The sequence below is a fragment of the Homo sapiens genome, chromosome 11 (genome assembly GCF_000001405.40).
Source record: "Homo sapiens chromosome 11, GRCh38.p14 Primary Assembly".
NCBI lineage: Eukaryota > Metazoa > Chordata > Mammalia > Primates > Hominidae > Homo > Homo sapiens.
Genome location: NC_000011.10, coordinates 68,469,118 through 68,485,423, shown reverse-complemented (window position 1 = coordinate 68,485,423; position 16,306 = coordinate 68,469,118). Strand labels below are relative to the sequence as shown.

At 43.1% G+C, this 16,306-nt stretch overlaps 1 protein-coding gene across 84 annotated transcripts in view, besides 1 other annotated feature; it reads right to left on the bottom strand.

Annotated features, from left to right (window-relative positions):
* The window catches only part of PPP6R3 (protein phosphatase 6 regulatory subunit 3), a 154,583-nt gene that overhangs the window by 129,911 nt on the left and 8,366 nt on the right, over positions 1-16,306 (bottom strand). The window lies entirely within an intron of this gene.
* Positions 14,992-15,492: an enhancer, noted in NCBI's record as "H3K4me1 hESC enhancer chr11:68237400-68237900 (GRCh37/hg19 assembly coordinates)". NCBI's record gives its function as "activates a minimal SCP1, AML or CMV promoter by ChIP-STARR-seq in primed H9 embryonic stem cells {active_cell/tissue: H9 hESC(primed)}" and the evidence as "EXISTENCE:reporter gene assay evidence [ECO:0000049][PMID:30033119]".

Below are 16,306 nucleotides of genomic sequence, written 5' to 3'. Positions count from 1 at the left end.
TCCATCATATCATACTGGAAGTCCTAGCTAATTCAATAAGAAAAGGAAATAAAAAGTATACAGATTGGAAAGCATAAAATAAAACTGTCTTTGTTGACAGACAACATGATGGAGAAAATGTGAAGGAATTGAAAAAAAAAAAAAAAAAAAGTCCCAGAACTTATAAGCCATTATACCAAGGTTACAGGCTACAAGGTTAATATACAAACATCAACTGCTTTCCTATATACCTGCAAGGAACAAGTGGAATTTGAAAATAAAAAAAAAATTATTTATATTAACATATCCAAAAAATGAAATACTTAGGTATAAAACAAAATATGTACAAGATCTATATAAGGAAAACTATAAAACTCTGATGACAGACCCCAAAGAAGAACTAAACAAATGAAGAGATATTCCATGTTCATGGATAAGAAGGTTCAATATTGTCATGATATCAGTTCTGCCTAACTTGATCTACAGATTCAATGCAATCCTGATCAAAATCTGACAACACATTTGATAATCAACTATTATCCAAAAATATATAAAGAAGGCTGGGCGCTGTGGCTCATGCCTGTAATCTCAGCACATTGGGAGGCCGAGGTGGGTGGACCACCTGAGGTCAGGAGTTTGGGACCAGCCTGACCAACATGGTGAAACCCCATCTCTACTAAAACACAAAAATTAGCTGGGCGTGGTGGCGGGCACCTGTAATCTCAGCTACTCCGGAGGCTGAGGCAGGAAAATCACTTGAACTCAGGAGGCAGAGGTTGCAGTGAGCCAAGACTGTGCCATTACACTCCACCCTGGGCAACAAGAGCGAAACTCCGTCTCAAAATATGTATCTTATATTATATATATATAAAAATATATATAGACACTTAAAACTCAAAAAAATGAACAACCTGATTAAAAAATGGACAAAAGACCTGAGCAAACATTACAGACAGCAAGTAAGCATTTGAAAACATGTTCAACATCATACATCATTAGGGAACTGCAAATTAAAGCAACAATGAGATAGCACAACACATCTATTAAAATGGCCAAACTCAAGACACATCACCAAACACTGTCAACAATGTGGGGCAAGAGGAACTCTCATTCATTGCTGGTGCGAATATAAAATGGTACAGCCACTGTGGGCAGTTTCTTCCAAACAGCAAACATACTCTTTCTGTACAATACAGTAATCATACTCCTTGGTATCTGCCGAAGTAAAGTGAAAAAACTTACGTCCACACAAAAACCTGCACACGGATATTTACAGCATCTTTATCCACAATTGCCAAAATTGGGAAGCAACCAAGCTATCTTTCAGTAGGTGAATGAATAAATTTGGGCACATCCAGACAATGGAATATTATTCAGCACTAAAAAGGAATGAGCTATCAAGCCATGAAAAGACATGAAGAAAACTTAATGCATATTATTACGTGAAAGAAGCCAATATGAAAAGGCTACATAAACAATGTATGACATTCTGGAAAAGACAAAGCTATGCAGACAGTAAAAGGATTAGTGGTCGCCAGAGGTTGCAGGGAGGTAAGGATGAATAGATGAGGCACAGAGGATCTGTAGGGCAGTGAAACCATTCTGTATGATACTACAATGGTGGCTACATGTCCTTATACATTTTTCAAAACTTTTAGAATATGACTGGGCACAGTGGCTCACGCCTGTAATCCCAGCACTTTGGGAGACCAAAGAAGGCGGATCACCTGAAGTCAGGAGTTTGAGACCAGCCTGGCCAACATGGTGAAACCCTGTCTCTACTAAAAACACAAAAGTTAGCCAGTCTGGTGGCAAATGCCTGTAATTCCAGCTACTCAGGAGGCTGAGGCAGGGGAATAACTCGAACCTGAGAGGCGGAGGTTACAATGAGCCGAGATCACACCACTGCACTCCAGTCTAAAAAACTTATAGAATGTGTAACACCAAGAGTACACCCTAAAGTATGGACTTTGGATGATAATGTGTTGGTGTAGGTTCATCAACTCTAACAAATGCACCATTCTCCTGAGGGATGTTATCACAGAAGTGTGGGGACAGGAGTATATGGGAACTCTCCTCCATATTTTTTGCTCAATTTTGCTGGGAACTTTTTTAAAAATGGTGAAAATGCAAACTTTATGTTATGTATTTTCCCACAATTTTAAAAGATTTGCTAAATAATTGGTCATTTATAGAATTTAAAAGCAATGTCGTATCTCATTTTGAAAGGAGGTAAACAAAATACTTTTCTAAGAAAAGTTTTCTTCCCTTTGCTTAAACATTTGTACTTTACTTGCAAAGACAAAAAAGCAAAATAACTCAGCTTGTAGTGTTTTATTTCTGCACTAAACAATATAATTCTAAAGGCTTCTAAGAACAAAGAACTTTATTACATTGAACTAAAAGCCAGCTGAATTGTTTGTGATAATAACAACAAAATCTAAAGACCCTTGATATGGGAAATGGCTATAAAGTATACCCTTAGTATGCAGCTATTAAAAAGAAAGAGGTAGACCTATTAGTACTACATGGGACTCAGTGAAAAGAGATGAATGAAAAAAGAACGGCACAATAGTATGGTGCTATTATATTTATATAAAACACACATACCCAGCATATATATGCAAATATACAGAAAAAAAATCAAGAAAGGAGACACAAAACCAGTAACAACAGAAGATGGAAAAGGATTTGGAAAAGGTGATCAGAATGGATTTTAGCCTTCTCTATAATTTTTTTCAAAATAAATATCACATATTAATTTTTTTTAAAAAACTAAGACTTTCTATCCCAAACCAAAAAAACAAAGTCAGTTGAATAAAAAAGTTTACAATATCCTACCTCTACAGTCAAGACTTCAAAACCAAGCCAGAGTCCATAAAATAGGCTACTATTCATTAACATTTAACCACTTATTCTGTGTAAGTTTAGGACTTCTACACTAGAAAACTTGCAAAAACAAAACACTCCACAATTTCAAATTACCCAAAGTCATTTTCTATGGGAAAGAGAGGAAATTTTTTTTTTTTTTTTTTGGCAGTCTCACTTTGTTGCCCAGGCTGGAATGCACTGGCATGATCTTGGCTCACTGCAACCTCTGCCTCCCGGGTTCAAGCGGTTTTCCTGCCTCAGCCTCCTGAGTAGCTGGGATTACAGGCGCCCGCCACCACGTTCAGCTAATTTTTGTTTTTCAGGTTTTTTTGGTTTTTTTTTTTTTTTTTTGGAGAGATGGGGTTTCACCATGTTGGCAAGGCTGGTCTTGAACTCCTGACCTCAGGTGATCTGCTTGCCTCGGCCTCCCAAAGTGATAAATGCTGGGACTACAGGCATGAGCCACTGCACCCGGCCGGGATAATTTTAGTATGATTCTCATTTTACATGTGAAGAAACTGGAGCTTAGAAAGGTGAGATAATTTGCCCAAGGTCAGACAGGTAGTCAGTGGTCAAACCAAGGTTCTATCCCACTTCTGACCACCTTAATGACCCTCTTCCTAACCGCTATGGCCAGACTGCCTCCCTGCTTCCCAGCTGCTTCATCTCAAGATGACTACCTCACACTCATCTAGAAGGAATAAAGAGTTAAAAGTAACACATATAAAGAACCAAGCGCAAGTGACAATTTAATAGCAGGGACTCAGCAAGCAAAATAAAGACACACCTGCCTCCTGCAAGTGGAGGTGAGTAAGCACGGCAGGCTGCTGAAGGTTTACACTAACCATGAGGCACTTTACTAGTAACTGATACCAAAAAGTGAAAAATGTTAGTTAGGCCTGACAATATGGTAAACAGAGAATGGACTCTAGTTTCTTCTAGAGATAGATACAAACATGCCCACCAATATTTATCTTTAATCCTCACAACAATTCTGCTAAACCAGCTCGCTCTCTCTAACCCATGTCCTCTACAATCCTTTCTCATCCTTTTCTCACAACCCTGAAAGATTATCAAGCTTGGCTCTTTGAAGTTTGATGAAGTTACATTGCCTATGCATTTCAAACTCCTTGGCTCCACTGAAAATCACTAAGATCGTATTCAAGGCAGTTAGTTCTTAACCCTATGCTTCTGGGATCAGCAGTGTGCTCCTGCTGCCACCAAATCCCCTAACCCTCCTCAATGAAGGCCATGGCAGAGGCAGAGACAGGACCAGAACTGACAGGATTTGCCACCAGAGTGTCACAAAATGAACTCCAGTACTAGCCCCAGCCTATGTGTCATTATGTCCCTCCACGGCTCTTGTTTCTGATGGCCTCTTTTTAATTTATTGGTCAAAGTAAGGCTTTTAATATTTTTTTATGTATAAAATAGTCCCTCCCCTCTCTTGGGATAGGCCATGTATTATAAATGCTAAACTCTACTCTCTTCCTTCCTCGAGACAGATTTGGCTCATAATCTATTTTGATCCACACCCCTTTTTCCAGATTGTTTTTAATGTTCTGTACTTGGCTGGAGTCAATGTTAACATTTTCTAGCAAGCAAATGATCCCATTTCAAAATGGTAATTATCCTTGAAATCATTCCCATTTCTGGATATAAAAAATGAGCTACCTAATGTAAAAGAGTTGAAAATCTCTAAGAAATTCCTGAAATTGACACATGAACACTCCATATTGAAGGAGGGGGAAAAAATCATATATTTGCTAACTCTTAGCAAAATGAAACTCCCCTATTGTAATTTTTAAAATATTTTGAATACTAGCTGACGCTTATTCAAAACACATATCTGGTACTTGGTTATTTGGACGTATCAAGACACCAAAAGAATAATCCAAAATAGCAGATAATACCAGCAACCTAAAAATAAAACAAAACAAACATTTGCTGGACTGGCCAACATGAGGAGCACTTTAAGCCCAGAATATGTAAAAATCCTGGACACGATATTAAAGCACCTCTTTAAATGCAAAGCTAGGCTGATAAAAACAAGAAAATTCTCACAGCTACCTCCATCCCTACCCTAGAAGTTTGTTTCACTGGATGCTAAGTTCCGCCAAGGTGCAGAATATTATCCATTCTGTTCTTTGGTAAATACCAAGTGCCCAGACAGTGTCTGGTACAGAAGAGCTCAATAAATATTTGCTGAACATTGACTACAAATGTACTGAGGGCATTTGGCCATTCTCATCAAATTAGAGCATGGCAGACAAAGATTGGTTGCCACAAAATCAAAAACAGCAAACACAAGAGGAAATAAGTTTTCAGAAAGAAACATCAAAAGATCAGAGCAGAAAAGCATGCAACCACTGGTATTACCTACAGAATATATGGTCCGTATAGCTGAAACAACACATTATAGAAAATATACTAAATATAAGATCTAAACAGAGTACTAGAAAGAGACAACTGAAAAAGCAGGTGAGAAATATCAAAGCAAAAATGGCTGAGAATTTTTTTTTTTAATTGAAGAAATATACCAGGCCAGGCGCGATAATTCACACCTGTAATCCCAGCACTTTGGGAGGGCAAGGCAGGATAATCACTTGAGCCCAAGAGAACAGCCTGGTCAACATAGCAAAACCCTGTTCATAAAAAAATACAAAAATTAGCCAGGTGTGGTGGCTTGCACCTGTAGTTCCAGCTACTCGGGAGGCTGAGGTGGGAGGATCACATGAGTCCAGGTGTCCGAGGCTACAGTGAGCCAGGATAGCACCACTGCACTCCAGCCTGGGTGACAGAGCAAGGACCTGTCTCAAAAAAAAAGAAAGAAACCAACCCTCAGGCAGAGAAAGGATAAGAAATAAGAACTCTACATAAATAATTCTTAGTGAAATTGAAGAACAAGGAGAAAAAAAGACTTTAAAAAATGAAAGAAAGAGGTTAGAAGCTAGAGATGACCTGCAGAGAAACGACTGACATCTAACTTCTTATCACTCTCAATACCAGCAATGGAAAAAGAAGATGAAAGTGCTGTCAAAGTGCTAAGGGAAAACAATCATCGAGCCAGAACTGGGTATTAGGCAAAACAACCTTTTAAGAATGACAATATAAAAGTATAGGTTGAGCGTCCCTCATCAAACAATCCAAAATCAGAAATGCTCCAAAATCCAAACATTTTTAATACCACAAGTAAAAAATTCCACCTTGACCTCATGTGACAGACCACAGTCAAAATGCAGGCACACAACACAGTTTATTCCGCGTCTCCAAGGGGAAAAAGACCCTCCCAGCCCCCTGCATCTGCTGCTGTTTAATAGCGGTTACAGGTATTCCAGTGATACAACTATGCTGCTTAGTTACCCTCCACGCATTATTTTTTAATTGTATTAATGGTACGCCATATCCCTTACTGTTAAGTACTTACATGTGAATAATCGTAAGAATATGATTGCTTATTGATAGCCTATAAATTCATGTCAGGAACAATAGTGATGTCTAGCAACCGCAGACTGTCAACATGGATGGCTGAGATGGTGACACCTTTGCTTTCTGATGGTTCAATGTATACACACTTCTTTCATATATGAAAATATTGTATAAAATTACGTTCAGACTGGCCGGGCATGGTGGCTCATGCCTGTAATCCCAGCACTCTGGGAGGCTGAGGCAGGTGGATCACGATGTCAGGAGATGGAGACCATCCTGGCCAACATGGTGAAACCCCCTCTCTACTGAAGACATAAAACTTAACTGGGCATGGTGGCGCATGCCTGTAGTCCCAGCTACTCAGGAGGCTGAGGCAGGAGAATCACTTGAACCCGGGAGGCGGAGGTTGCAGTAAGCTGAGGTGACACCACTGCACTACAGCCTGGGCGACAAAGCGAGACTCCATCTTCTCAAAAAAAAAAAAAAAAAAAAAAAAACTTACCAAGTGCACTAACTCATCAGTTGAGAGTCAAATTATAAACTATAATTTAGCTATGTGTGGCTTTCAAAAGGCACGCCTAAAACGTTAAGGCCACAAAAGAGCTTGAAAGTAAAAGGGCAGAAAAAGATATATAAGGCAAATAGTAACCAAAAGTCACTTGTCATAGTTACATAACACCTTGACAAAAGATACTTAAGTTTTCGGCCTATATATATACTTTAGTGGGAAAATATTCACAGAAATGAAGATTTACAGAATGACAAATTGTGCAAGTCACAGGAAGGTTTAAAATTCTTAACTTGCTTGGGCAACGGGGCTCACACCTCTAAATCTCAACACTTTGGGAGGCCAAAGTGGGAGGATTGCTTGAGCCCAGGAGTTAAAAGACCAGCCTGGGCCGGGCGCGGCAGCTCACGCCTGTAATCCCAGAACTTTGGAAGGCTGAGGCAGGTGTATCACGAGATCAGGAGTTCGAGACCAGCCTGGCCAACATGGTAAAACCCCATCTCTACTAAAAGTACAAAAATTAGCCAGGCATGGTGGCGGGTGCCTGTAATCCCAGCTACTTGGGAGGCTGAGGCAGGACAATCGCTTGAAACCGGAAGGCAGAGGTTGCAGTGAGCCAAGATCACGCCACTGCACTCCAGCCTGGGCAAAAGAGCAAAACTGTCTCAAGAAGAAAAAAAAAAGACCAGCCTGGGCAACACAGTGAGCCTGTCTCTACACACACAAAAAAATCTAAACTTTACAGATGAAAAGCAAAAACTGAGTGCTACAGAATCTGACAAATCCCATCATAGAAGGTACAGAACCTCCTCAACTTACCATGGGGTTGGTTATGTCCCAAAAAATCGACTGTAAGTTGGAAATTATATATATATATATATATATATATATATATTTTTTTTTTTTTTAAGAGACAATGTCTCTCTCTGTCTCTCAGGCTGGAGTGCAGTGGCGCAATCACAGCTTACTGCAGCCTCGACCTCTTGGGCTCAAGCAGATCTTCCCACCTCAGTCTCCTGAGTAGCTGGGACTCCAGACACACGCTGCCATACCAACCTAATTTTTTAAATTTTGTGTAGAGATGGGGTCTCCCTATGTTGCACAGGCTGGTCTCAAACTCCTAGACTCAAGCAATTGATCCTCCCACCTCAGACTCCCAAAGTGTCGGGATAACAGGCATAAGTCACTGCACCTGGATGAAAATGAATTTAATACCCTGATAAACTCATCACAGAGCTGAAAAAGCATAAATTGAGCCATCATGAAGTCCAGATGCTCCTCAACTTACAATGGGGTTATGTCCCAATAAGTCTATCATAAAGTGGAAAAATCCTAAGTCAGACTATGGCAAGTCAGGGACATCCGGTGTTGTATTCTAACACCCACCCCCATCCCCCACCAACTAACAGAACAAGCAGAAAAAAATTAAGGATACTAGTTTGAACAGAGATGGAAAAGCCTCACCTTATAATCTGGAAATACACATTCTTTTAAACACACATAGAATAGTGATGAAAATCTGCACAAACTAAAACTAGCCTCAACACATTTCAAAGAATCAAAATCGCATTAGACCACATTTTATTAACACTTTTTTTTTTTTTTAAAGAAACAGGGTCTTACTCTGTCATCTAGGCTGGAGTACAGTGGTGCAATCATAGCTTACTACTGCAGCCTCGAACTCCTGGGCTCAAGCAATCCTGCCACCTCAGCCACCTGAGTAGCTGTGACTACAGGCACAAACCACCACGCCCAGCTAAATAAAAAAATATATATATGTAGAGCTGGGGTCTCACTATGTTGTCCAGGCTGGTCTCAAACTCCTGGGCTCAAGCATCCTCCTGCCTAGGTTTTCCAAAGTGCTGGGAATACAGGTGTGAGCCATCACACCAGCCCTATTAACACAATTTAAGTTTGTCATCAATAACAAAGATTTTAAAAAGATATATATGCCAAGATTTGAAATCATAATGAAAATCTGAATATATTCAGAATTAAAGATAAAAATTATACATAGCAAAACTTATAGCATATAGCTAAAGTGGTGCTTAAAAGGAAATTACTACTTTATTTAGATATGTATGTACATATAAGTATATAAAAAGGTTGAAAATTAATGACCTAAACATACTGTTTAAGAAGTTAAATAGCCCTCCCCCTCCCCCTCCCCCTCCCCCCTCTCCCCACGGTCTCCCTCTGATGCCCAGCCGAAGCTGGACTGTACTGCTGCCATCTCGGCTTACTGCAACCTCCCTGCCTGATTCTCCTGCCTCAGCCTGCCCAGTGCCTGCGATTGCAGGCGTGCGCCGCCACGCCTGACTGGTTTTCGTATTTTTTTGGTGGAGACGGGGTTTCGCTGTGTTGGCCGGGCTGGTCTCCAGCTCCTAACCGCGAGTGATCCGCCAGCCTCGGCCTCCCGAGGTGCCGGAATTGCAGACGGAATCTCGTTCTCTCAGTGCTCAATGTTGCCCAGGCTGGAGTGCAGTGGCGTGATCTCGGCTAGCTACAACCTCCACCTCCCAGCCGCCTGCCTTGGCCTCCCAAAGTGCCGAGATTGCAGCCTCTGCCCGGCCGCCACCCCGTCTGGGAAGTGAGGAGCGTCTCTGCCTGGCCGCCCATCGTCTGGGATGAGAAGAGCCCCTCTGCCCGGCTGCCCAGTCTGGGAAGTGAGGAGCGCCTCTTCCCGGCCGCCATCCCGTCTAGGAAGTGAGGAGCGTCTCTGCCCGGCCGCCCATCGTCTGAGATGTGGAGAGCGCCTCTGCCCGTCCGCGATCCCATCTGGGAGGTGAGGAGCGTCTCTGCCCGGCCACCCCGTCTGAGAAGTGAGGAGCCCCTCCTCCCGGCAGCCACCCCGTCTGAGAAGTGAGGAGCCCCTCCGCCCGGCAGCCGCCCCGTCTGAGAAGTGAGGAGCGTCTCCGCCCGGCAGCCACCCCGTCCGGGAGGGAGGTGGGGGGCAGCCCCCGCCCGGCCAGCCGCCCCGTCCGGGAGGGAGGTGGGGGGCAGCCCCCACCCGGCCAGCCGCCCCGTCCGGGAGGGAGGTGGGGGGCAGCCCCCGCCCGGCCAGCCGCCCCGTCCGGGAGGGAGGTGGGGGGCCAGCCCCCGCCCGGCCGCTGCCCCGTCCGGGAGGTGGCGGGCACCTCTGCTCGGCCGCCCCTTCTGGGAAGTGAGAAGCCCCTCTGCCCAGCCACCACCCCGTCTGGGAGGTGTACCCAACAGCTCATTGAGAATGGGCCATGATGACGATGGCGGTTTTGTGGAATAGAAAAGGGGGAAAGGTGGGGAAAAGACAGAGAAATCAGATTGTTGCTGTCTCTGTGTAGAAAGAAGTAGACATGGGAGACTTCATTTTGTTCTGTACTAAGAAAAATTCTTCTGCCTTGGGATGCTGTTGATCTATGACCTTACCCCCAACCCTGTGCTCTCTGAAACATGTGCTGTGTCCACTCAGGGTTAAATGGATTAAGGGCGGTGCAAGATGTGCTTTGTTAAACAGATACTTGAAGGCAGCATGCTCCTTAAGAGTCATCACCACTCCCTAATCTCAAGTACCCAGGGACACAAACACTGCAGAGGGCCGCAGGGTCCTCTGCCTAGGAAAACCAGAGACCTTTGTTCACTTGTTTGTATGTTGACCTTCCCTCCACTGTTGTCCTGTGACCCTGCCAAATCCCCCTCTGCGAGAAACACCCAAGAATGATCAATGAAAAAAATAAAAATAAAAAAAATAAAAAAAAGGAAGTTAAATATTAGTGATTACAAATATGATAGAGATGCAAAAGATAGTAAGTCAGAATTTTATGCCAATATATTTGAAAATACAGACAAGAATAAACAAACTTTTTAACATAAACTACCAAATGTGACTCAGGAAAAAACAAAGATTTTAATAATCCTATAAATATTAAAACATCCAAATAAGTAATTTAAAAATCTGAGACAGAAAACACTAGGCCCCAATGGTCTTACCAGCAAGGCTTACCAAACCTTCAAGGAACAGATAATTCCCTTTTACATAAACTCTCAAGAGACAAATGAGGAAATACTACAATTTGTTTTATTGGACTAGAATAATCTTGATAATAAAACTCATCAAGGTTGATATAAAAAAAGGAAAATTACAGGCCAATCTCACCATGAACATGGACACATAAATCATAAGGCATTAGGTAAGTTAAAAACAGGAAAAATACAGCATTTCTTTTTTGAAAAAAAAGCAAGGACAAAAGATTTAAGTGAGCTTTCCTCTAAATAAGATATACAAATAGCCAATATGATATTTAAAAGATAATCAGGCTGGACGCAGTGGCACATGCCTGTAATCCCAACACTTTGAGAGGCCAAGGTGGGTGGACTGCTTGAAGCCAGAAGTTCGAGACCAGCCTAGGCAACAAAGCAAGACCCCTGTCTCTACAAAAATTGTAAAAATTAGCCAGGCATGGTGGTGTGTGCTTGTAGTCCCAGCTACTCGGGAGGCTGAAGCGAGAGGATTCCTTGAGCCCAGGAGTTTGAAGCTGTAGTAAGCTATGATCATGCCACAGTGCACTTCAACCTAGGTGACAGAGCAAGACCTTGTCTCAAAAAAAAAAAAAAAAAGGTAATTGCTTTTTAACATGCAAATAGCCAACAAGCTATGTAAAAAGACACTCATCAGCATTAGCCATAAGGAAAAGGCAAATCTTCAAAATGTTAAAGTTACCACATTATCCAACAATTCCACTCCTACGTATACACCAAGAGAAATAAAACCATGTCTACCCAAAGACTTGTATGCAAATATTCACAGAAGTATTACTCACAACAGCCAAAAAGTAGAAATCCAGTAATAAAGAGACAAAAATAACAAAGCAGAGTGTTTTTCCTATTCTTTCCCTTAACAATCAACACAGGATACTTATGTGACCACACATCATGCAATCAGTTCTGCAGCAGACACCAGGTGGGTGTCCTCCAATTCAATTCCAACACCATCTACCTGGAGATAGAGTCAGATCCCACAGGGTGAGGACTCAGTCCCACAAGACTGCCCTCGACTTCTGACGCCAATCACAAGCTCCAGGTTGTTTTACCTGTGCTTCCCCCGCAACAGCTATAAACTGGGGTTCCCATAACCCACTTCTTGGGTTTGATTAATTTGCTAGAGTGGCTTACAGAACTTAGGGAAACAAGTTTACCAGTTTATCATAAACAATATTACAAAGGATACAGATGGAGAGATACGCATGGCAAGGTAAGAGGGGAGGGGCTCAGAGCTTCCATGCCCTCTATGGGCACACCACCCTCCAGGAACCTCCATGTGTTCTAGAAGTTTCTAGAACCCAGTCTTTCCAGATTTTTATGGCAGTGACATTACTTGGGCACAACTGATTATATCATTGGCAGTTGATCAATTCAATGTTCAGCAAATCTCCTCTCACTGAAGGCTGGAGGTGGAGCTGAAAGTCCCAACCCTCTAATCATGGTCTTTCCAGTGACCAGCCCCTAACCTGAAGCTACCTAGGTCAGCTAGCCATCAGTCAACTCATTCGCATACAAAAAGACACTTATCATTTTGGAAAGTCCAAAGATTTTAGGAGCTGTATGCCCGGAAACTATGCCAAGGATGAAAATCAACTATATATTTCAAAGGAAACAAATGTCCATCAACTGATGAATGGATAAATAAAATGTGGTATATCCATACAATTGAACACTATTCAGCAACTAAAAAGAATGAAGGACTGATACTGATACATGCTAAAACATGGATGAAACTTGAAAACATGCTAAGTTGAAAGAAGCTGGTCCCAAAAGACCACCTATTGTATGATTCTATTAATAAGCAATGTCCAGAATAGTCCAATGGGTACAAGGTGGTTTTGTTGTCGTTGAGGGGGTGACAAAAATGTTACAAAGTTAGATTGTGGTGATAACTGCACAGTTCTGTGAATATATTAAAATCCATCAGTTGTACACTTTAAATTGATCAATTGAATAGTCTGTGAATTACTTCTCAATAATGTTGTCATTAAAAAAAAAAAAACCCCGAGATATAAGTTTACATCCACCAAACCTGCAAATATTAAAGTCTGACAATACCAAGGGCTAGCAAGGATGTAGGACGGTGCTGGTAGTGAGGTAAAGAGGTACAATCATTTTGGAAAACAATTTGCACCATCTAGTAAAGTTGAAGATGTACATGTCGCACTACCCTGCAATTCTCTACATGGGTGGTACCCTGGAGAAATGCATCTGCACTTGTTTAAGGCAGCGTTCCTTCTTACTAGAAACACTTATATTCTCCAATGGCAGGACAAAGAAGAAAATGAGACATATTCAGTCTGCAATGTAACAGAGAAGTGAAGAAGGATAAACCACAACCACACGCACCAATGTGGGCAAACCTCTCCGTCTGCACGCCTTCCCTTCCCGGCTTTACCACCACGTCCCACCAACATCATCACTTCCTGGCCTCTCTCTTGCTTTGCTATTTCTGATTAGGGAAACCACAACCCCAGTTAAATGAAGCAATGCCTACTCTCCTTCCAGGAAAAATAACAAATCGTGCTGTCTTCACTGCAACTCAGGACTGCTACCCTCAGGTAGGCCATTCCATTCACACACATTCTTACTTTCCCACAGAGTATGTCATACTTCCTCCTCTCTCCTCACACCCCGCCAGCCCTGACACCCCCTCATTCTCACTGACTGCTGAGAACTCTTCCATTTCACCAAGAAAAAAAAAAGCCAACGTCCACATGCTCCCACTATCCCATCTCCCCTAGTCTGCTCTCCCTCCTCCTACCAGGGAGGAGCCCATGGATGCCAACTCTCCACATGGGCACCCACCCACTTCCTGCTGCCTTCCCAAGAATGTGGCTCCAGCAAGGGTCACCTCTTCTGATTCATCATGTCATTCATCCTCTGGAGAATTACTTCACCAACACTGCAAAAATGGTGTGGTTTCTCCCACCTCAACACCTCAGGATCCCAAATATCCCTTCATCACTGTGGCAAATCCCATGACGGAGCTCTACTTGCCTTTCTCTTCTCTCAATCCTTGTGAATGCTCCCTTCCAGGCTTTTCCTGCACCACCATGTGGGAACAGCTCTCAAGATCGTCGATGAATTCCACGCTGCCAGAGCCATGAGACGAGTCTTGGTCCTTATCTCAGGTGACCTCACGGCAGCAGCACTGGCAGAGGTCCCCGCTCCATCCTCCGTGACAACACTTTCCTAAGGCCTCAAAGCTGCTCCTTCCACCTTCTAGGCTGCCGTAGAGCCTCATTCCTTCAGTGCCTCACTCAACCTCGGGACTGTTAAATGCCACCTAAATATTGAAGACTCCTATTTCTTTTTCTTTTTTTTTTTTTTTTTTGAGACAGAATCTCGCTCTGTCACCCAGGCTGGAGTGCAGGGCGCGATCTCAGCTCACTGCAAACTCCACCTCCCGGGTTCATGCCACTCTCCTGCCTCAGCTTCCAGAGTAGCTGGAACTACAGGCACCCACCACTAAGCCGGCTAATTTTTTTGTATTTTTTTTAGTAGAGACGGGGTTTCACCATGTTAGCCAGGATGGTCTCATCTCCTGACCTTGTGATCCGCCCGTCTCAGCCTCCCAAAGTGCTGGGATTACAGGAGTGAGCCACCGCGCCCGGCCCAAAGACTCCTATTTCTATCTGCAGCCTAGATCTCTCCCTTGAGCAGTGAACACCCCAATCCAGCATATCTCCAATCTGCTCTCCAAAAGCTTCAGAAACTGAACATGCACAAAACCCAACTCCTGATCTTACTTCCACACGCTGTTCTTCCCAAGTCTTCCCTTTCCTTATACATGGCAACGCCCACCAGCTACAAAAATCCCTGGTATCATCCTTTACTCCTCTCTCACACCCACTCCAATCTGCCAGCAAATCCTGTCTGCTCTTCCTTTTCAAGAAGGATCCAGCAGCCAACCTCTTCTCACTCCCACCCCTGCTCCCCTTCAGTCCCAGCTGCCATTACTGCTCTCCTGGATCACTGCCAGAGCGTCCAACCTCCCTCCAGCAGCACAGGACAGTGGGACCTTTAGAAACCACATCATGTGACACCTCTGCTCAAAACACCAAATGACTTACCCATCTCACTCAGAGAAAAAGACAAAATCTTAACAATGGCCAGTGTGACCTACGCCCTCCCCCCATCTCCCCCATCCATCTGGCCTACCCTCCTCCCACTCTCCCTCAGGCTCCTCACTCCAGCCACACTGGCCTCCGCTGCCCCTCCAACACAGCAGACATGCCTCCTTCTTAGCACCTTGTCCTGCTGACCCTCCGCCTATAATGCTGCCCCTACCCCACTGCCACCCACAGCCTTGTGGCTGGGTCCCTCCACTCCTTCTGTTGACTGCTGTATTTCAATCTGCAGACAAGCACTCCCCCACACCCCACCTCTCCTGGTTTACTTTTCTCCCTGTTTGTATTACCATATGGCTACTGTATCTTTCATTTATCTGTTAACTGTCTTTCCCCTACCAAAATGTAAGCTCCATGAAAACAAGGACTTTTCATCTGCTTTGCTTACTGTTAACATGCCCAGCAGTAGAACAGTGTTTAAGACATGGTAAGTACTCAAACATCTGAATAAAAGGATCACAGAAACAATGTTGAGTGGGGGCAAAAAAAGAACAAAGTGACTCCATTTACATTGTCTAAAGGAATGCAAAAATGAAGTCACATTATATAAGGATACATTTATACTTTGCAACACCATAAAGTAAAGCAGAAAAATGATACATACAAGGTATTTGCCTTGGGGAGGTCAGAAAGAGGGAAGTGGTGAGACGAGGACACAGGGAGCCAAAGGTATGGCAACCTTCTATTTCCTAAGCTGGTTAGTGGGTACACAAGTGTCAGTTCTAATGTTTAATATCTGGGCACATGCTGATATATACTCTTTGAATTCATAGTCCAATTACAAGTTAAAATAAAAAAACAGATTAGAGGCCAGGCATGGTAGTTCACACCTGTTATCTCAGCACTTTGGGAAAACAAGGTGGGAGGACTGCTTGAGCCCAGGAGTTCAAGACCAGCCTGGGCAACATCGGAAGATCTTGTCTCTACAAGAAAAAAAAAAAAAAAATTACCTGGGTGTAGTAGCATGTGCCTACAGTCCCAGCTACTCGGGAGGCTGAGGTGAGAGAATCGTTTCAGCCAGGGAGGTCAGTCAAGGCTGCAGTGAGCTATACTGCACTCCAGCCTGGGACTCTATCTCAAAAAAATAAACAAAAACCACTGCACTCTAGCCTGGGATTACACCACTGCACTCCAGATTACACCACTGCACTCTAGCCTGGGACTCTATCTCAAAAAGATAAACAAAGACAAAACAGATTAGAGCAGGCATTGACAAACTACAACCCACAGGCCAAATCCAACTCTCTGTCTGCTTTTATAAGTAAAGTCCTATTGGAAGACAGCCACCTTCATTTGTTTACAGATTGGCTATGGCTGCTTTCACACTACAAAAGCAGAGATGAGTCCTTGCAGAGACCATTTAGCCTCC